This window comes from Homo sapiens, chromosome 9 (assembly GCF_000001405.40).
Source record: "Homo sapiens chromosome 9, GRCh38.p14 Primary Assembly".
In the NCBI taxonomy this organism is placed as follows: Eukaryota; Metazoa; Chordata; class Mammalia; order Primates; family Hominidae; genus Homo; species Homo sapiens.
In genome coordinates, this window is record NC_000009.12 from 102,132,702 (window position 1) to 102,156,136 (window position 23,435).

The 23,435-nt window shown below is 37.4% G+C and overlaps 1 annotated feature.

The window, feature by feature from the left end:
* Nucleotides 850-1,019: an enhancer, noted in NCBI's record as "experimental_104087 CRE fragment used in MPRA reporter constructs". NCBI's record gives its function as "activates a minimal promoter by MPRAs in K562 erythroleukemia cells, with activity observed for both the introgressed and non-introgressed 9:104895918 variant alleles {active_cell/tissue: K562}" and the evidence as "EXISTENCE:reporter gene assay evidence [ECO:0000049][PMID:34662402]".

Consider the following 23,435-nt stretch of genomic DNA (forward strand, 5'->3'; position numbering starts at 1 on the left):
AGCTTCATAAGTGAAGGACAAATAAAATCCTTTACAGATAAGCAAATGCTGAGAGATTTTGTCACCACCAGGCCTGCCCTACAAGAGCTCCTGAAGGAAGCACTAAACATGGAAAGGAAAAACTGGTACCAGCCACTGCAATAACATGCCAAATTGTAAAGACTGTCGATGCTAGGTCTTGTGCTAGTTTTCAAAGGAAATGCTTCCAGCTTTTCCACATTCAGTATGATATCGACTATGGGTTTGTTATAAATAGCTCTTATTATTTTGAGATAGGTTCCATCAATACCTAGTTTATTGAGTGTTCTTAACATAAAAGGATGTTGAATTTTATCGAGGCCTTTTCTGGATCTATCGAGATGATCATGCTGTTTTTGTCATTAGTTCTGTTTATGTGATGGATTACGTTTATTGATTTGCATATGCTGAAGCAGCCTTGCATTTCAGGGATGAAGCGTACTTGACTGTGGTGGATAAACTTTTTTATGTGCTGCTGGATTCAGTTAGCTGGTAATTTGTAGAGGATTTTCGCATCAATGTTCATCAGGAATACTGGCCGGAAGCTTTTTTGTTGTTGTGTGTCTGCCAGGATTTCAAAAAACATTCCATCCTCATGGATAGGAAGAATCAAGATTGTGAAAATGGCCATAATCCTCAGAGTAATTTATAGATTCATTGCTATTCCCATCAAACAACCATTGACATTCTTCACAGAATTAGAAAAAACTACTTTAGATTTCATATAGCACCAAAAAAGAGCCCATATAGCCAAGACAATCCTAAACAAAAAGAACAAAGCTGGAGGCATCACACTACCTGACTTCAAATGATATTGCAAGGCTACAGTAACAAAAACAGTAAGGTACTGGTACCAGAACAGACGTATAGACTAATGGAACAAAACAGAGACCTCAGAAATAACACCACACATCTACAACCATCTGATCTTTGACAAACTGGACAATAAGCCATGGGGAAAATATCTCCTACTCAATAAATAGTTCTGGGAAAACTCACTAGCCATGTGCAGAAAACTGAAACTGGACCCCTTCCTTACACCTTGCACAAAAATTAATTCAAAATGGATTAAAGACTTAAATGTAAAACCCAAACCATAAAAACCCTAGAAAAAAACCTAGGAAATACCGTCAGGACATAGGTATGGGGAAAGACTTCATGACAAAAATGCCAAAAGCAATTGTAACAAAAGCCAAAATTGACAAATGGAATATAATTAAACTAAAGAGTTTCTGCACACCAAAAGAAACTATCATCAGAGTGAACAGGCAACCTACAGAATGGGAGAAATTTTTGCAATCTACCCATCTGACAAAGGTCTAATGTCCAGAATCTACAAGGAATTTAAACAAAATTACAAGCAAAAAACAACCTCATCAAAAAGTAAGCAAAGGATATGAACAGACACTTTGCAAAAGAAGACATTTATGCGGTCAACAAACATGAAGAAAAGCTCAACATCACTGATCATTAGAGAAATGCAAATCAAAACCACAATGAGATACCATCTCATGCCAGTCAGAATGGCTATTATAAAAAGTCAAGAAACAAGATACTGGTGAGGCCGTGGAGAAATAGGAACACTTTTACACTGTTGGTGGGAATGTAAATTAGTTCAACCATTGTGGAAGACAGTGTGGTGATTCCTCAAGGATCTAGGACCAGAAATACCATTTGCCCCAGCAATTCCATTACTAGAAATATATCCAAAGTAATATAAATCATTCTACTCTAAAGACACATACCTGTATGTTTATCGCAGCACTACTTACAATAGCAAAGACTTGGAAACAACCCAAATGTCCATCAGTGATAGACTGGATAAAGAAAACGTGGTACATATACACCATGGAATACTATGCAGCCATAAGAAGGAATGAAATCATGTCCTTTGCGGGGACATGGATGAAGCTGGAAGCCATCATCCTCAGCAAACTAATGCAGTAACAGAAAACCAAGGTAGAAGGGACTTGCTTTGGACTTGGGCATGTTCTCACTCATAAGTGGGAGTTGAACAATGAGAACACATGGACACAGGGAAGGGAACAACATACACCAGGGCCAGTCGGGGGATGGGGGCTACTGGAGAGGGAGAGCATTAGGACAAATAGCTAATGCATTGGGCTTAAAACCTAGATGACGGGAGGATAGGTTCAGCAAACCCTCATGGCACACATATACCTATGTGACAAACCTACACATTCTGCACTTGTATCCTGGAACATGATGTAAAACTATTTTTTAAAAAAAAATGCTAAAACATTTAAAAATATTCACTTCCTTATGAAATTGGAATACCCAGAGATAGAGAGCGCTTCAGTCTCATTCAGTTCCAGTGGCCTAGAATCTTTTCATGTGCTTATCTGCTGTTGTTGGCTGGTCTCAAACTTTTGATCTCAAGTCATCAGCCTGCTTCAGCTTCCCAAAGTGCTGGTATTACAGGCATTAGCCACTGCACTTGATCTCACTTTTCAATTAAGGCTTCCAAAAGTGACCTTCTTTTTATTTGGATATGAATGAGTAAGCATAAAGTGTGAAGAGTTGTTGGCAATTATCTTGCTACCATGAGAAGGAGCCCAACTTGCTGTTCTCGTGATGGTGAATGAGTTATCACAAGATCTGATGGTTTAAAAGTGTGTGACACTTCCCCCTTTTTTTCTCTCTCTCTCTTCTGCTCCACTATGTTAAGATGTTGTTGCTTCCTCTTCGCTTTCCACCATAATCATAAGTTTCCTGATGCCTCCCACCCATGCTTCCTGTTAAGTCTGTGGAACTGCGAGTTAATTAAACCTCTTTTCTTCATAAATTACCTAGTCTCAGGTAGTTATTTATAGCAGTGACAGAACGAACTAATACAGAAAATTGGTACCAGGAGAGTGGGCACTGCCATAAAGACACCTGAAAATGTGGAAGTGGCTTTGGAACTGGGTAATGGGCAGAGGTTGGAATAGTTTGGAGGGCTCAGAAGAAGACAGGAAAATGCAGGAATGTTTGCAACTTCCTAGAGACTTGTAAATGGTTTTGACCAAAATGCTGATAGTAATATGGACAAGGAAGTCCAGGCTGAAGAGGTCTCCAGTGGAGATAAGGAACTTACTGGGAACTGGAGTAAAGGTCACCCTTGCTATACTTTAGCAAAGAGACTGGTGGCATTGTGCCCCTACTCTAGACATCTGTGGATCATGAAAGCAGATGTGGGGGCTGTACCTTGCAGAGCCACAGGTTAGTGCTGCCTAAGGCCATTGGAACCCTCCCCTTGTACTCAACATGCCCTAGATGTGAGACATGGAGTCAAAGGAGATTATTGTGGAGCTTTAAGATTTAATGACTGCCCTGCTGGGTTTGAAATTTGCATACGGCTTGTAGGCCCTTTGTTTTGGCCAATTTATCCCTTTTGGAATGAGAGTATTTACCCAGTGCCTGTACCCCCATTGTATTTTGGAAGTAACTAGTTTTTTATTTTACAGGTTCATAGGTGGAAGGGACTTTTTTTTTTTTTTTTTTTTTTGTGAGACAGAGTCTCGCTCTGTCACCAGACTGGAGTGCAGTGGCACGATCTTGGCTCACTGAAACCTCCACCTCCTGGGTTCAAGTGATTCTCCTACCTCAGCCTCCAGAGTAGCTGGGATTACAGGCACGTGCCACATGCCTAGCTAATTTTTGTATTCTTAGTAGAGACTGGGTTTCACTATGTTGGCCAGTATGGTCTCAATCTCTTGACCTCTAGGTCTGCCTGCCTTGGCCTCCCAAAGTACTGGGATTACAGGCATAAGCTACCGTGCCTGGCCAGAAGGGACTTTCTTTGGACTTGGACTTTTGACTTAATACTGGAATCAGTTAAGACTTTAGGAGACTGTTGGGAAGGCATGATTGATTTGAAAATGTGAAAGAACGTGAGATTTGGGAGGGGTCAGGGGCAGAATGATATGGTTTGGCTCTGTGTCCCTACCCAAATCTCACATTGAAATGTAATCCCCACACGTCAGAGGAGTGGCCTGGTGGGAGGTGATTGGATCATGGGGGAGACTTCTCCTTTGCTGTTCTCATGACAGTGAGTGAGTTTTCTGATAGTTTAAAAGTGTGTGGCACTTCCCCCTTTGCTCTTTCTCTCTCCTACTCTGCCATATTAAGATGTGTTTGCTTCTCCTTCACCTTCTGCCATGATCATAAGTATCCTGAGGCCTGCCAGTCATGCTTCTTGTTGAGCCTGCACAACTGTGAGTCCATTCTACCTATTTTTTCATAAGTTACCCAGTCTCAGATAGTTCTTTATAGCAGTGTAAGAATGGACTAATACAAACCTCTTCTTACCATATCTTTATCTGAAAAGTAGAAATAATAACAGAACCTACCTCAAATAAATATTGTGATGATTAAATGAGTTAATCAATATAAGTTTGCTTAGAAAATGCCTAGTACATAGTAACTGCTACAAGTGTTGTAGTTATTTTTCTTGTTGTTATTGTATCATTTAGGTTAAGAAACTCAGAAAACATCTAGATAGACTACTTGAGTTTTAAAATTATTTAAAATGTAGTTACAGCAAAAATGAAGTTTTGTAAGTATACAGTTTCATGAGTTTTAACAGTTTACAGATACGTGTAACCACCAACACAAAAAGGACGTAGAACAATTCTCACATGTCCTCCCCTTTATGGTGAGATAGACCCTGTAACTGGTGATTGGTTTCCTGTCCCTGAAGTGTGGCCTTTTCTAGAATGTTATATAAATGGAATCATATAATATACAGGATTTGGGACTAGCTTCTTTCACTCAGTCTAATACCTTTGAGATTCATTAATTTGTTACATGTATCAATAATTTGTTCATTTTAATTGCTGAATAGTGTTCGTTGTAAGGATGTAAAAAACAGTTTGTTTATCCATTTGTCCTTTGAAGTACATGGAAGTTATTTCTAGATTTTTGGCAGTTTCTAGATTTTAGCTTGTATATAGTTTGTGAAAAAAAATTATTTGTCTAGAGAAATGAAGCTACACTAGTACAATCAGTTAGTGTGTTGTACTTAGATGGAAGTAGTCCTAGGAGTGGGATGACCAGGTCAAATGGTAAATGTATGTTTACCTGAATGAGAAACTTCTACACTATATTCATTGTGTTTACACCATTTCATATTGGCATCAGCAATGAATCAATATGCTAGTTGTTTTATATTTTGTCTAGCAATTTGTAAAAAATATTAGGCATTCTAATAGGTGCAGAGTACTGTGTAATTGTGGTTTTAATTTGCATTTATGGATGTGATAGCTAATGATGTTGAGAATCTTTTCATGTACTTATTTGCCATTGTTATGTCTTTGGTGAAATGTGTGTTTGCCCATTTGCGGGACAGGGTTGTTTGTTTTCTTACTGTAGCGTTTTGAGGGTTCTTCTTGTATTCGGGATACAAGATCTTAGTCATATACGTGATTTACAAATGTTTTCTTCCAGTCTGTAGTTTGTGAGACAATTTCTGCACTCTCTTCAGTTTCCACGAACTATATGTCTTTCACTTTACCAGTACCACTCTGTATTGTTTAGCTTTAAGTGTTAAAATTGTATACTGAGAGTTCTCCAATTTTATTCTTTTTTCAGAATTGTATCCTATGTTTAGTTTCATTTCCTTTTCATATACAGTTTAGAATCTACTTGTGTATATCTACAAAAAAATCCCTGTTAGATTTGAATGAAAATGCATTAAATCTATTGACTAATTGGTAAGGAAATGATGCCTTTATTATACTGAGTCTTAAAATTCATGAAAATGGAGTATCTTTCCAAGTATGTGGGTTTTAAAAATGTCTTTATCAGCATTTTGCAGTTTCAGAATTATACAAGAATTTTTTTAAATTAATTGCTAAGTATTTTCTCCAAGTTATGGTAAAGGAGATTTACATGCCTTCTTTTTAAACCATTCATTTCAATACTGTTCACTTTTATGTCTTGGAAGATGTTTCCAATGGCTATTTTAAAGTCTTTGCTTCTAGTAATTCCAACATGTTTGTCATCTTGGTGTCTGTTGATCATCTTTTTCCTTGAAAATTATTTTTAATACTATTAGTTCTGGTTTATAATTTAAGCCAGTTTATGTATCAGTGCTGTTCAGATTGTCCTGGAAGAGTATTCCCTTTGATTGTCTCTTTGTCTTGCTCGCTTTTCTCTCTAAGATACCAAAAAAATACATGAAGACAGCAGTGAGGCATTTATGGGATTTATAAAGGAATTGACTTAGGATCTTGAAGAATGTATTCTGGTCTCCTGAGCAATGTTCCTTTCCTCATCCCCAGTTGCTGATTGTCCTGTGTGCAATTGCCTCTGAAGGTAGTGGTGAGAAAAGCTCAGAAGATCAGAGTGTAAGATCTCTTGGCTTGATAAGAAACCAGGAATTACCTTTATTTGTTCCAACCTCATCTCCACTCTAGCTGGTTGTAGGCATTTGAGTCTCTGTCATCCTTCATGTAGCTGTCTGTCCTGGCTGTCCATCCCGGCGTCTTCTGTGAGGTCCACTTGCTGTGCCTTGGCAGATTCTATGGCAGGCTTTCTGGCTCTCAGATCAAGGCTTATACCTCCTGGCTAAATGAGCACACCTGAGGAATGTTTAATTTCAAAGCCTTCCCCTTCCTAGATTTATTGTTGCATCAACTTAATGTGGTCCTGTCCTAGGCCAGTGCAGAAAGAAGCTAAACTGTGATGTCTTTACAGAATATTAAACAGGAAAGTAGAGTCTTGTGGTCTTAGTTATACCCTATTTACATAAGGCACAGCCCCTTTTCTTGGCTGAAGGTGTAAGTCAGACACATAAGCATGACTATTTCATTTTCCAATCCCTTGCTATTTTTTCTTCCCGTATTCTTCCAGGGATGAGAATCGGGCCAGTTTCCTCCCTTGCTCAGAGTATTTGGTCCTCACTTATGCAAAATTCTGTCTATCTTAGACATGTGTATTGGTTACCTACTGCAGCATAGTACTATTATCACAAATTTAGCAGCTTAAAACAACACATATTTATTACCTCATGGCTTCTGTGGGTCAATATTTCAGGCACAGCTTCCCCGAATGCTCTAAATGGTTGTAGCCATAGTGTCAGCTGAAGCTATAGTCTCATCTGAGGTTTGGCTTGGGGAGGATCCACTCCAAAACTCACTCAGGTTGTTGGCATAACTCAGTTGATTACATATGTACAACTCAGGGCTTTAGTGTTTTACTGTGAACTAGAGAGGGCCTTCAGCTCCTAGCAGCCACCCACAGTTTCTTTTGAGGTAGATTTCCAACATGGTCACTTGCTTCCTCAAAGCCAATAAAGGAGAGAGACTCCAGCAAGTGTGGTGCTATAATCTTTGTAATGTAATTACATAATTATATACAACTAATTGCATACATCTCACTGTATTCACTACATTCTGTTTTCTAGAAGTAAGTCACAAGTCCTATTTACACTCAAGGAGAGGCACTCACACAGGGCAGAATGGTGGAAGGTGGGAATTGCGGGTGTCACCTGATGAGTCTGTCCATCATGATATGAAAAATAACTTAGTTATTTTTCAAGACAAATGCTGGAATCTAGAGATTAATTTCTTTCTAGAAAATATATTTTTGAATATTATAAACTCAATATTATCTCATTTTTCCTCTCTAAATTTATAGTTTAATATTCATACTTCTAGGCAAATACCCTAGATCCCATAGGTCAGAAATCATGTACTCACGCCATCAAGATTGAAAAGCATAGTAATAATATATTGAAAATTATTTATAGATCCAGAAATGTACTCAAAATTTCTAAACCTAACTGGATATGAAACAGCACAGTTTCAAATTATTTCTTTCCTCATCCAAAATGCCTTTTTTATCTTTATATTCTGGTGAAATCTTACTGATATTTAAAGGCCAGGCCATTGTGTCATTTCCAACTAAAGACATACCTGGGCACTCCCAGGTACCATGGCCACCCTTGGCGGAATTAATACATCTTCTAGGTTTCCATAGCACTTGTTTCTATTTCTAATAGGGCACTTACCATATTGTTATAATGTAAGATCTAACTTTTGGTCTTACATGCTAGATTCTTAAAATCTTGAATCTTGGTTTTGGGTGATCTTTTTATTCACTGATTTAAGACAGTGCATTTAGTAACTATTAGAATATTTTAATAAAAGCATAATATCCATATTTTGTGATTTTAAGTTAAAAAATGTCACTAGAAGTTCAAGTTCTTATTTACTATGTGCATTGAATTAAAATTAGTCCATTTTATCTGTAAACTAGAGAAACGGGCTCCAAAATTGCAAATTGAGGACTCACGTTTTATTGACAAAATGTTTGTTTTCCCATGCCATTAGTGTAATTTCTTACTAGTGGGAGAATTTCTCCTTATAACATTTTTTTATAATTTTATGTGTGTATTTTTGGTAATACATATCTTAGTCCAATACTATCTATATCAGCCCATGGTAATGGTTCAAGTCAATAAAATGTGGACAGAAGCAATGTATGCCACTTACAGGTCAATAGGAAAAATAAATTTCCACTTTTTATTGACTTTATTTTCTTCTATACATAGTGGTATCAAAAGATGAACAGTCTGGGTCCTGAATAACTGCAATAAAGCAAATCATTCCTTCTCATTTACCGCTTGTGCAGACCATACTGTATTGAGGAAGCAGTAGACCTTCATTTTGTTAAGCCTCTGTGATTTGAGTACTGTTTGTTAAAATAGTTAGCTTACATTGACTAATGCACAAATAAAAATAGTTATTTCTTAAATATGTGAGAAGATAATCTAACAGTATTTCAGATGACAAAGAGTCTGATTAATGATGGGTGACATATGTCATTTATCAGGTTAGGCAATTATTAATATTACATATGCCACAGAATTTTAAAATGTTGACCTATTTATGTTTAATTTTACCCCCTTTGGCTAAATCCAGCATAGCAAAAGTTAAAACTTTGCAGAAATGGCAAAGAAGAAAAATATATTTGTTGTGTCCTAGGTTTGAGAAGTAAGATCCAGAGGTATTTCTTCATGTTTGCAAAGGGTAACCAGGGATAAATAAATATACTAAGGCAAGTGCACTGTGTTACTCAGATGAATGTTTCAAGTCTTTTTTTTTTTTTCCTGTGGGGTCCTAAAGAGGTAAAAAAATTGAAAGTAGAACTTTTTTCATGATTCCCATTTATATGGCCTATCAACAAGATCACACTACCATTAATTATCTAGAAGATACTGTTCCTATTATGTCCACAGGGACTTACTCAACAACATGATAGATTTCACTGTCAGTGCATTTTTTCTCCTGTAATAGACTGTATTTCTTTTTCTTTAATTTTATCCTAATAGTGCTGGCTCCTTCACTTCCCCGGCTTCCTTTCCTCCTTAAAGAAAGGTAAAACAATTTTCTTTTTTCTTTAAAGGAACTGGCAAAGCTTAACTAGAACATACCCTCAAATATTCCTCATCTTAAGTAAATACAATATATTGTAGACTGGCCTTTGTGAATTATATGAAGTATAAGTACATGATTTATTAGTCAATTTTTTTTTAGCGATGGAACATTCATTCTATAAAGTTTAAATTTGGGGACTAAAAAGCAACACTTCAAAACTATCTGAAGCAGTGGTAGCTTTCTTAAGGAATGATGTACACTTTGAGAACTGTTGTCTTTTTTGTCTGTTCTATGTATGAGGTAGAGGGCATTGCATTTCTCATCTTTGTTGGGCAAAAGGTGAGAAATTCCTCAGAGCATTAAGAGAGCCCTTAGGAGAATTATTCATAAAGTTTGGAGTTTCCCCTGGAAAAAGAGGCATATCACTCACTTTACTTCAGAATGGTGGCCTCTGTGCTGCATGGAACCTGAGTGATGCAGTATGAAAACTGTTAAGAGAAACTGAAAATGTGATGTGTGTCCTGGAATTTGTCATATATATTTGCTTTCCATGTGGATAATTTTGAAAACAGAAGCCTCATTGCATCATCTTTCAATGACAAGGCAATAGGAAGAGAATAGCTTAAGGTCAAGTTCCAGCTTTTGCAATAGGGAAGATACACAATCTTTACCTCCATAAAATAACTGTAAAATGAAACAATAAATATTGTTTTCATTATTATAATTATCAGGTAAGGAGTAAGGATTAGATGGGAATGGCAGAATATTGATAATTGTTGAAGCTGACTGATGAATACTTGGATTTCATTATACCATTTTTGGTTGTTTGTATATAGTTGATCCTTCCTTCCTTCCTTCCTTCCTTCCTTCCTTCCTTCCTTCCTTTTTCTTTCTTTTTTTGGAGACAGGGTCTCACTGTGTTGCCCAGGCTGGAGTATAGTAGCATGTTCTTGGCTCACTGCAACCTCTGCCTCCCAGGCTCAAGCGATTCTCCCACCTCAGCCTCCTGAGTAGCTGGAACCACAGGCTCGGCTCGTGCCACCACATCCCACTAAATTTTTGTATTTTTGGTAGAGACGGGGTTTCACTATGCTGACCAGGCTGGTATCAAACTCCTGACCTCAGGTGATCTGCCCGCCTTAGCCTCCCAAAATTCTGGGATTACAGGCATGAACCACCATGCTTGGCCTAGAATTTGTTTTAATAAAACAGTTTTTATGAAAGAGTCAAACATCAGCTGTATGAGAAGTTGAGTATAAGGAACTAAACGTGGCTGTAAGGAGTCCAGTAGATGATCGAAGTTAGATGCTAGGCGATGGTGAATTGATGTGTGGAAATAGTGGTGGAGGTAGTAAGAAATGAATGGAATTGTGATATATTGGGAAGTTAGAGCCAATGTTATTTCATAATGAAGTCTATGTAATGTGACTGAAAGAGAACGTTTATGACTTTCCATCTATACTTTTCTTTTATTTTTTTGTACTTAAAGTTGAACTTATTAGTTTAGCAATATTTTCCCTCAAACTATGGTATTTCCTAAGACCTACGGCTAGAGGAATGAACATTTACAAAAAGACAGTTAAGCCTACCTTAAAGACTGAAAATGGTTCACCAATGTTGGAGTTGCCCAATTTTAAGTGAGAAAAGTGACCTTTTACTACAAACTGGCTCTGCAGCTGTCTTTAGGATTATGTGTGATCACCTTTAGATAATTATCAGTATTATATTTCACTTCACTGTTTCTAAGGATTTGTAAACATTTTATAGACTAATCTATATATTTGTTTGCTATAATTCAGGATAATAGAACTTCAATTTCAAATAATTGTAATTGCAACCTTAATAACTTTGAACAATTGAGTAAATGTGGAGGAGAAAACTGGGAGCCTACTGTGGCTATTGTCCCCAAGATGAGTGGGCCTAAGTTCAGTATGTGATATATAAAAGGGCTTTATGAACTCCAGTTTCATCTCAAGAGCTTAGCCTATTGTTTGGAATTTAGTAGAATTGGAGATATTAGACAATTCTTGAATTAAGTTGGACTTGCAGTTCAATGATTTTTGCAATAAAATATTGGAAGAAGGATGATAGTCAGTGGCTAGGGTACTCATTAATAGAAGCAAGCTTTGTTTGGATAAAAGCTACTGGTTTATGTGAATTTTAAAGGCAGGGCTCCAATTTATGCATGAATTATGTAAACAAACGTTCAAGTATTAAGTCAACTCCTTAATGCGGCATTCATTCCACCCTGTTTCTCTAAAATCACTATATTTTATTGTATTAATAGAATGTTCCATAGTTTGCTGTTATTGCACATTTATAGCATGTACCATAAGTTGCAATTTGCAATTATTTTCTTATTATATGTCTCCTTCTCTTAGAATATAAGCCCACAAGAGAAACGACCTTGCTCACTGTGCTAGTCCATTCTCACACTGCTGTGAAGAAATACTCAAGACTGGGTAATTTATAAAGGAAAGAGGTTTAATTGACTCACAGTTCCACATTGCTGGAAAGGCCACAGGAAACTTAGTCATGGTGGAAGGCAAAGGAGAAGCAAGCACCTTCTTCATAGGGTGGCAGGACAGAGTGAGTGTAAGCAAGGGAAATGCCAGACACTCATAAAATCATCAAATCTCCTGAGGGTCACTCATTATCACAAGAACAGCATGGGGAAAACCACCTCCATGTTCCAATCACCTCCACCTGGTCCAACCCTTGACATGTGGGGATTATAGGGATTGTAGTTCAAGATGAGATGTTGGATGGGGACACAGCCAAGCAATATCATTCACCTTATCTATACTTATATCACAATCATGTAGAATAATTTCTGGTGCAGAGTAAGTATTCTATAAATAATCACTGAAGTAATGGTAATTCGAACCTCAGCCGTTTACTAGCACACACACAGGGTTAAAAAAATTCTCGCTGGTCAAATCTCCTTGAAAACATGCTATTGATAGACCTCTTGACACACTAATGTAATTTGTTTGTGAGAGAACATGTATCTGTGAAAGTCTTTTAGCAGGATGTACTTGTTCTGTCAAGTTTTACTTATACAATCCTGGAATCTGTATTTATGGGACATAACTTCCTGAAATATTTCACATAAACTCTCAAAGTATTGGAGAGAGATGTTTCACAACCAAAATAGCTGCCTTTTATATAAGCAATATGGCTATATATGTTACTTAGAAAACTAATATGTTACTTCTGAGTCAAAGAGCATCCTAATGTGGCAAGAAAAACCTGGGAGTGCAACACTGGCAATCCTGCATCTCTCTCTGCTTTGCCCATGCCTCACAATTATACTTGAAATACTTGGAATTACTGGATAAGATCCCTGGTTCTTCTGAGTCTAATTTAAAAGTCAATTTCTGTTATCTTTCTTAGGGAGGTGGTCAATACAGTAAAAGTAATGGAAGGCTGTTAGTCTGAGGCTGTTATAAATATAGTACACAAGAAGTTTAGGGGATGGCTGGGCTAAATTTGCTGGTTCAAGATAGAACCTTCATGTGAAAGGGCCTCAGAAATCTCCTTACTGTCATTTAAAATAATTCCTGTGTATCTATTCTTGTACAGTCCAATTGAATTTCAAAATAATATTCAGATAGCTTTATAATTATATTTTAAATTGGGGATTGTTGAATTCAAACTTATGTAATTATTTGACATCAAAAGCAAAGAGAGCAGGTAATAAACTCATGAATAGGAATATCTTATGTAAGCAAGACTTTCATTCTTTTTAGAAAACAAACTTACCCATTTTGCAGCATTAAATTTCACACCTGAAGCACAGAACTGTATACTCTCATAGTACATATTTGTCTTCAAATAAATGATTTGTCCTAAGCCTTCATTGGTATATGATAACTTAGCTGGTAGCTACTGTTCTCAGCAGCCACCAGAGGCCAGATAGAAGAGCTGCCACACGGGATTCACCTGTAAGGGTTCTTCCACATGGCCTTGCATTCGGGCTTCAGACTGAAAACTTTAGTGATAAAACCACAATGTGAAAGCTCAAGAGTGTTTAGTATTTACAGATCGTGGGAGATACAAGTCACGCCCAGAGGCCACACAGGGAGGTCAGGAATCACGTGGAAGAGAGAAGACATGTGAAAACTAGCAGTATGCATTGGAGAATAGGATGTAGGTCAGTTTAAGTTTATGGGCGAACGCCTATAAGGAACCTTTAAAGGAAGCAACAGAAAAGCAGGGAGTCTGCTAGGCAGAAGTCTGCTAGGCAGAAGAGATGCCTAAGTTTTTATCTCTGACCACCAGTTTGAAACATTTGGGTATGGTGTAAAACTGGAAATTGTGTCAAGGGTGACTAAGCCTTGACATGAGCAGGCTAAACCTATATTCAAAGTGGATGCTGATGCAACATGAAATTATTAGCATCCACTTCAGTTGGTCCATAAAACTACATGTTTAATTGTTGCAAATAATAATCAGAACTGTTATGCATATTTATAGGCTACAACGTACATTCACAAACACAACCTCCTTTGCTTCTTACAAAAATTTTAATACAATAACTGTTGTCCCAATTACATCAGTTAAAATCATTGAATTTGTGTGTCCAGTTATTTTAGTTCAAAATAAAAGACTATTTCTAGTTTATTATTGTTCTAGGTCAACCCTTCTTAACTTCAGAATGAGTGTACATGAATACCTTCTACGTCTACATACTTTAGTTCAGAAAAAATTCTAAATACACAAATGTTTATGTAATAATTCACTCGTTTATGTACTATTTATAATAATAAAAATTAAAACATCTTAATACAAGAATGACAAATGGATATATAATATGTTGACTTAAACTAATGTCTACAAAAGTTGTAAAGCATAATATAAATTTCATGAATGTAATAATGAGAGAACTAAGTAGGAAGCCACATTTGTGTAAATATGTGTAATTAATTTACTTAAAGTAGCCAAAGAAAAAAGTATAGCAGAGAGTATAACATAATGTTAAAACAATTTGTCTCTTAGTAGTGAGATTATAGGTAATCTAAATATATATCCTCATAGTTTTGAATTGTTAAATTTTCTTTTATTTTTAATTTAAATGCATAGTTTAATGCTATTTTATATTTTATTTTCCCAGATTTATTTAGATATAAGTGGACAAATAATAACTGTGTATATTTAAGGTATACAATATGATGTTCTGATATACATTGTGAAATGATTACCACTATCAAGCTAATTATGACACTCATCATCTCACTTTTTCTTTTTGGTATTTAGAATACTTAAGATCTATTCTGTTAGTAAATTTCAAGTAGATAATATATTATTATTATTATCTGTAGTCACCATGCTATATACTAGGTACCAAGAACTTACTCATATTGTAACTTAAAGTTTGCACCCTTTAATAAAAATCTTTCCATTTCTCTCATCCCTTAAGTCCTGATAACCACATTTATACTTTCTGTGAGTTTGAATATTTTAATTCTACATATCAACAGATCTTGCAGTATTTGTCTTTCTGTGTTTGCTTATTTCAGTTAGTGTAATGTCCTCCAAATTCACTCAAGTGTTCACAAATGGCAAAATTTCCTTTTTTTTTTTTTAAGTGAGTAAAAACTTTATTACTTGATGTTCAGAAGCCCACCCTGATCAAAATATTTTTTTTTATTATACTTTAAGTTTTAGGGTACATGTGCACATTGTGCAGGTTAGTTACATATGTATACATGTGCCATGCTGGTGTGCTGCACCCACTAACTCGTCATCTAGCATTAGGTATATCTCCCGATGCTATCCCTCCCCCCTCCCCCCACCCCAAAATAGTCCCCAGAGTGTGATGTTTCCCTTCCTGTCTCCATGTGTTCTCATTGTTCAGTTCCCACCTATGAGTGAGAATATGCGGTGTTTGGTTTTTTGTTCTTGCGATAGTTTACTGAGAATGATGATTTCCAATTTCATCCATGTCCCTACAAAGGACATGAACTCATAAATTTTTATGGCTGCATAGTATTCCATGGTGTATATGTGCCACATTTTCTTAATCCAGTCTATCATTGTTGGACATTTGGGTTGGTTCCAAGTCTTTGCTATTGTGAATAGTGCCGCAATAAACATACGTGTGCATGTGTCTTTATAGCAACATGATTTATAGTCCTTTGGGTATATACCCAGTAATGGGATGGCTGGGTCAAATGGTATTTCCAGTTCTAGATCCCTGAGGAATCACCACACTGACTTCCACAATGGTTGAACTAGTTTACAGTCCCACCAACAGTGTAAAAGTGTTCCTATTTCTCCACATCCTCTCCAGCACCTGTTGTTTCCTGACTTTTTAATGATTGCCATTCTAACTGGTGTGAGATGGTATCTCATTGTGGTTTTGATTTGCATTTCTCTGACGGCCAGTGATGATGAGCATTTTTTCATGTGTTTTTTGGCTGCATAAATGTCTTCTTTTGAGAAGTGTCTGTTCATGTCCTTCGCCCACTTTTTGATGGGGTTGTTTGTTTTTTTCTTGTAAATTTGTTTGAGTTCATTGTAGATTCTGGATATTAGCCCTTTGTCAGATGAGTAGGTTGCAAAAATTTTCTCCCATTTTGTGGGTTGCCTGTTCACTCTGATGGTAGTTTCTTTTGCTGTGCAGAAGCTCTTGAGTTTAATTAGATCCCATTTGTCAATTTTGTCTTTTGTTGCCATTGCTTTTGGTGTTTTAGACATGAAGTCCTTGCCCATGCCTATGTCCTGAATGGTAATGCCTAGGTTTTCTTCTAGGGTTTTTATGGTTTTAGGTCTAACGTTTAAGTCTTTAATCCATCTTGAATTGATTTTTGTATAAGGTGTAAGGAAGGGATCCAGTTTCAGCTTTCTACATATGGCTAGCCAGTTTCCCCAGCACCATTTATTAAATAGGGAATCCTTTCCCCATTGCTTGTTTTTCTCAGGTTTGTCAAAGATCAGATGGTTGTAGATATGTGGCGTTATTTCTGAGGGCTCTGTTCTGTTCCATTGATCTATATCTCTGTTTTGGTACCAGTACCATGCTGTTTTGGTTCCTGTAGCCTTGTAGTATAGTTTGAAGTCAGGTAGTGTGATGCCTCCAGCTTTGTTCTTTTGGCTTAGGATTGACTTGGCGATGCGGGCTCTTTTTTGGTTCCATATGAACTTTAAAGTAGTTTTTTCCAATTCTGTGAAGAAAGTCATTGGTAGCTTGATGGGGATGGCATTGAATCTGTAAATTACCTTGGGCAGTATGGCCATTTTCACGATATTGATTCTTCCTACCCATGAGCATGGAATGTTCTTCCATTTGTTTGTATCCTCTTTTATTTCCTTGAGCAGTGGTTTGTAGTTCTCCTTGAAGAGGTCCTTCACATCCCTTGTAAGTTGGATTCCTAGGTATTTTATTCTCTTTGAAGCAATTGTGAATGGGAGTTCACTCATGATTTGGCTCTCTGTTTGTCTGTTGGTGGTGTATAAGAATGCTTGTGATTTTTGTACATTGATTTTGTATCCTGAGACTTTGCTGAAGTTGCTTATCAGCTTAAGGAGATTTTGGGCTGAGACGATGGGGTTTTCTAGATATGCAATCATGTCATCTGCAAACAGGGACAATTTGACTTCCTCTTTTCCTAATTGAATACCCTTTATTTCCTTCGCCTGCCTAATTGCCCTGGCCAGAACTTCCAACACTATGTTGAATAGGAGTGGTGAGAGAGGGTATCCGTGTCTTGTGCCAGTTTTCAAAGGGAATGCTTCCAGTTTTTGCCCATTCAGTATGATATTGGCTGTGGGTTTGTCATAGATAGCTCTTATTATTTTGAAATACGTCCCATCAATACCTAATTTATTTAGAGTTTTTAGCATGAAGGGTTGTTGAATTTTGTCAAAGTCTTTTTCTGCATCTATTGAGATAATCATGTGGTTTTTGTCTTTGGCTCTGTTTATATGATGGATTACATTTATTGATTTGTGTATATTGAACCAGCCTTACATCCCAGAGATGAAGCCCACTTGATCATGGTGGATAAGCTTTTTGATGTGCTGCTGGATTCGTTTTGCCAGTATTTTATTGAGGATTTTTGCATCAATGTTCATCAAGGATATTGGTCTAAAATTCTCTTTTATTGTTTTGTCTCTGCCTGGCTTTGGTATCAGAATGATTCTGGCCTCATAAAATGAGTTAGGGAGGATTCCCTCTTTTTCTATTGATTGGAGTAGTTTCAGAAGGAATGGTACCAGTTCCTGCTTGTACCTCTGGTAGAATTCGGCTGTGAATCCATCTGGTCCTGGACTCTTTTTGGTTGGTAAGCTATTGATTATTGCCACAATTTCAGCTCCTGTTATTGGTCTATTCAGAGATTCAACTTCTTCCTGGTTTAGTCTTGGGAGAGTGTATGTGTCCAGGAATTTATCCGTTTCTTCTAGATTTCCTAGTTTATTTGCGTAGAGGTGTTTGTAGTATTCTCTGATGGTAGTTTTTATTTCTGTGGGATCGGTGGTGATATCCCCTTTATCATTTTTTATTGCGTCTATTTGATTCATCTCTCTTTTTTTCTTTATTAGTCTTGCTAGCAGTCTGTCAATTTTGTTGATCCTTTCAAAAAACCAGCTCCTGGATTCATTAATTTTTTGAAGGGTTTTTTGTGTCTCTATTTCCTTCAGTTCTACTCTGATTTTAGTTATTTCTTGCCTTCTGCTAGCTTTTGAATGTGTTTGCTCTTGCTTTTCTAGTTCTTTTAATTGTGATGTTAGGGTGTCAATTTTGGATCTTTCCTGCTCTCTCTTGTGGGCATTTAGTGCTATAAATTTCCCTCTACACACTGCTTTGAATGCGTCCCAGAGATTCTGGTATGTTGTGTCTTTGTTCTCGTTGGTTTCAAAGAACATCTTTATTTCTGCCTTCATTTCGTTATGTACCCAGTAGTCATTCAGGAGCAGATTGTTCAGTTTCCATGTAGTTGAGCGGTTTTGAGTGAAATTCTTAATCCTGAGTTCTAGTTTGATTGCACTGTGGTCTGAGAGATAGTTTGTTATAATTTCTGTTCTTTTACATTTGCTGAGGAGAGCTTTACTTCCCAGTATGTGGTCAGTTTTGGAATAGGTGTGGTGTGGTGCTGAAAAAAATGTATATTCTGTTGATTTGGGGTGGAGAGTTCTGTAGATGTCTATTAGGTCCGCTTGGTGCAGAGCTGAGTTCAATTCCTGGGTATCCTTGTTGACTTTCTGTGTCATTGATCTGTCTAATGTTGACAGTGGGGTGTTAAAGTCTCCCATTATTAATGTGTGGGAGTCTAAGTCTCTTTGTAGGTCACTCAGGACTTGCTTTATGAATCTTGGTGCTCCTGTATCGGGTGCATATATATTTAGGATAGTTAGCTCTTCTTGTTGAATTGATCCCTTTACCATTATGTAATGGCCTTCTTTGTCTCTTTTGATCTTTGTTGGCTTAAAGTCTGTTTTATCAGAGACTAGGATTGCAACCCCTGCCTTTTTTTGTTTTCCATTTGCTTGGTAGATCTTCCTCCATCCTTTTATTTTGAGCCTATGTGTGTCTCTGCACGTGAGATGGGTTTCCTGAATACAGCACACTGATGGGTCTTGACTCTTTATCCAATTTGCCAGTCTGTGTCTTTTAATTGGAGCATTTAGTCCATTGACATTTAAAGTTAATATTGTTATGTGTGAATTTGATCCTGTCATTATGATGTTAGCTGGTTATTTTGCTCGTTAGTTGATCCAGTTTCTTCCTTGTCTTGATGGTCTTTATATTTTGGCATGATTTTGCAGCGGCTGGTACCGGTTGTTCCTTTCTATGTTTAGTGCTTCCTTCAGGAGCTCTTGTAAGGCAGGCCTGGTGGTGACAAAATCTCTCAGCATTTGCTTTTCTGCAAAGTATTTTATTTCTCCTTCACTTATGAAGCTTAGTTTGGCTGGATATGAAATTCTGGGTTGAAAATTCTTTTCTTTAAGAATGTTGAATATTGGCCCCCACTCTCTTCTGGCTTGTAGGGTTTCTGCCGAGAGATCTGCTGTTAGTCTGATAGGTTTCCCTTTGAGGGTAACCCGACCTTTCTCTCTGGCTGCCCTTAACATTTTTTCCTTCATTTCAACTTTGGTGAATCTGACAATTATGTGTCTTGGAGTTGCTCTTCTCGAGGAGTATCTTTGTGGCATTCTCTGTATTTCCTGAATCTGAACGTTGGCCTGCCTTGCTATGTTGGGGAAGTTCCCCTGGATAATATCCTGCAGAGTGTTTTCCAACTTGGTTCCATTCTCCCCATCACTTTCAGGTACACCAATCAGACGTAGATTTGGTCTTTTCACATAGTCCCATATTTCTTGGAGGCTTTGCTCATTTCTTTTTATTCTTTTTTCTCTAAACTTCCCTTCTCGCTTCATTTCATTCATTTCATCTTCCATCGCTGATACCCTTTCTTCCAGTTGATCGCATCAGCTCCTGAGGCTTCTGCATTCTTCACGTAGTTCTGGAGCCTTGGTTTTCAGCTCCATCAGCTCCTTTAAGCACTTCTCTGTATTGGTTATTCTAGTTATACATTCTTCTAAATTTTTTTCAAAGTTTTCAACTTCTTTGCCTTTGGTTTGAATGTCCTCCCGTAGCTCAGAGTAATTTGATTGTCTGAAGCCATCTTCTCTCAGCTCATCAAAGTCATTCTCCTTCAAGCTTTGTTCTGTTGCTGGTGAGGAACTGTGTTCCTTTGGAGGAGGAGAGGCCCTCTGCTTTTTAGAGTTTCCAGTTTTTCTGTTCTGTTTTTTCCCCATCTTTGTGGTTTTATCTACTTTTGGTCTTTGATGATGGTGATGTACAGATGGGTTTTTGGTGTGGATGTCCTTTCTGTTTGTTAGTTTTCCTTCTAACAGAGAGGACCCTCAGCTGCAGGTCTGTTGGAATACCCTGCCGTGTGAGGTGTCAGTGTGCCCCTGCTGGGGGGTGCCTCCCAGTTAGGCTGCTCGGGGGTCAGGGGTCAGGGACCCACTTGAGGAGGCAGTCTGCCCGTTCTCACATTTCCAGCTGCCTGCTGGGAGAACCACTGCTCTCTTCAAAGCTGTCAGACAGGGATATTTAAGTCTGCAGAGGTTACTGCTGTCTTTTTGTTTGTCTGTGCACTGCCCCCAGAGGTGGAGCCTACAGTGGCAGGCAGGCCTTGAGCTGTGGTGGGCTCCACCCAGTTAGAGCTTCCGGGCTGCTTTTTTACCTAATCAAGCCTGGGCAATGGCGGGCGCCCCTCCCCCAGCCTTGCTGCCGCCTTGCAGTTTGATCTCAGACTGCTGTGCTAGCAATAAACGAGACTCCGTGGGCATAGGACCCTCCGAGCCAGGTACGAGTTATAATCTTGTGGTGCGCCGTTTCTTAAGCCCATCAGAAAAGCGCAGTATTCGGGTGGGAGTGACCCGATTTTTCAGGTGCCTTCTGTCACCCCTTTCTTTGACTCAGAGAGGGAACTCCCTGACCCCTTGCGCTTCCCAAGTGAGGCAATGCCTCGCCCTGCTTCGGCTTGTGCACGGTGCACACACCCACTGACCTGCGCCCACTGTTTCGGCACTCCCTAGTGAGATGAACCCGGTACCTCAGATGGAAATGCAGAAATCACCCGTCTTCTGCGTCACTCACGCTGGGAGCTGTAGACCGGAGCTGTTCCTATTCGGCCATCTTGGCTCCAGTACTCCCAAAATTTCCTTTTTTAAGGCTGAATAATATTCCATCGCATTTTTCTATATCCATTCATCTGTCAATGGACACTTTGGTTATTTCTGTATCTCAGCTATGGTGAATAGTGCTGCAATGAACATGGGATTGCAGGTATCTCTTCAATAAACTGATTTCATTTCCTTTGGATAAATACCCATAAAGTGGAATTGCTGGGTCATATGGTGGTTCTATTTTTAATTTTTTGAGAAAGCTCCATATCATTTTCTGTAATGGCTCTATTGATTTATATTCCCACCAATAGTGCACAATTCTCTTTTCTCCACATACTTGTCAACACTTGTTATTTTTCATCTTTTTCATCGTAGCCATCTTCACAGGTGTGAGATGATACCTCATTGTGGTTTTAATTGCATTTTTCTGATTATTGGTGATATTGAGGAGCCTCCCATGTCTCTGTTGGTCATTTGTATGTCTTCTTTGGAAAAATGTCTATTCAGGTCTTTTGCCCTTTTTTTTTTTTTTTAAATCAAGTTATTTGCTTTTTGGCTCTTGACTTATATGAATTTCTTATTTATTTTGGATATTAGTTCCTTGCCAGTTATATAGTTGGGAAATATTTTCTTCCATTCTGTGAGTTGTCTTTTCATTTTATTATTTGTTTCCTTTGTTGTGCAGAAATGTTTTAGTTTGATGTAGTCTCAGTTGTTTATTTTTTATTTTTCCCTGTGCTTTTGATGACATATCCATGAAATAATTTCCAAGATTTATGTCATGAAGATTTTCTTCTATGTTTTCTTCTAGAAGTTTTATAGTTTCAGGCCTCACGTTTAAACCTTTAATTCTTTAATTCATTTTAAGTTGCCTTTTTTTGGTATAGTGTGAGATAAAGATCTAATTTATCCTTTTTTTCTTTTCTTTCTTTCTTTTTCTTTTTTCTTTTTTTTTTCTTTTTGTTGAGTGCGGATATCCAGTTTTCCAAAAACCATTTAAGGAAGATACTATCTTTTATCCATTGTGTATTCTTGGTGCCTTTCTTGAAAATTAGTTGACTCTATATGTGTAGGTTTATCTTAAGACTTTGTATCCTGTTCCATTAGTCTATGTGTTTTTATGTCAGTGTCATAATGTTTTGATTACTATATCTTCATAATATAATTTTAAATCAGTACATGTAATGCTTTCAGCTTTGTTTGTTCTTCTTAGGATTGTTTCAGCTATTTGGAGTCTTTTATAGTTCCATATACATTTCAGAATTTTTTCTATTTCTTGAAAATTTCCATTGGGATTTTGATAGGGATTGCAACAAATTTGTAGATTACTTTGGTTAGTATTGCTATTTTGACAATATTAATTCTTCCAATCCATGAATGGGATATTGTTCTCTTTTTTTTTTAGGTCAGGGTTTTGCTGTCTCACACATGCACTCCGGCTGGAGTGCAGTTCAGCAATCATATTTTTCTATTTATTTGTGTCTTCCTTAATTTCTTTCACTACTGTTTTCTAGTTTTCAGTGAACAGATCTTTCACCTCCTTGGTCAAGCTTACTCCTAAGTACTTCAGTTTTTAAAATGCTATTGTAGAGCTGCACATGGTGCCTTGTTTCTATAATTCCACCTACTAGGGAGGCTGAGACTGGAGGATTGCTTGAGGACAGGAGTTTGAGACCAGTCAGAGTAATGTAGTAAGACTCTATCTCGAAAAATATATATTTTTTAAATTAGCAGGGTATGGTTGCCCATGCCTGTAATCCCAGCTGTTTGGAAGACTAGGTGGGAGGATCTCTTAAGCCCAGGAGATGGAGGCTGCAGTGAGCTATGATTGTGCCTCTGTGCTCCAGCCTGGTCAACAGTACTAGACCCATCTCTAATTTATATATATATCTTAATTTTTGATTTTTTAGTGCATAGAAAAGGAACTGATTTTTGTAAAATTAACGAATTGACTTTTGAAGTTTGATTCTGTATCCTGAAAATTTACTGAATTTCTTTAATGGTTTTAACAATTTTTGGTAGCGTATTTAAGGTTTTATATACACATAAGATCATGTTATCTGGAAACACCGTTTAACTTCAACCTTTCTGATTTGGATGACTTTTTTTTTTTTCTCATACCTAATTGCACTGACTACGATTTACAATACTATACTGAGTAGAAGTGGTGACAGTGGGCATCCCTTTCTTTTTCATGATCTTAGAGGAAAAGAGTTCAGCTTTTCATCACTGCATATGAAGTTAGCTGTGGGCTTTTCATATATGTCTTTTATTATGTTAAGGTATAACTTAGTAACTTAGTTGACTTCTATAACTAATTTGTTGACAGTTTTTTTAAATCATGAAAGGACATTGAATATTGTTAAATGATTTTCTGCATCTATTGAGATG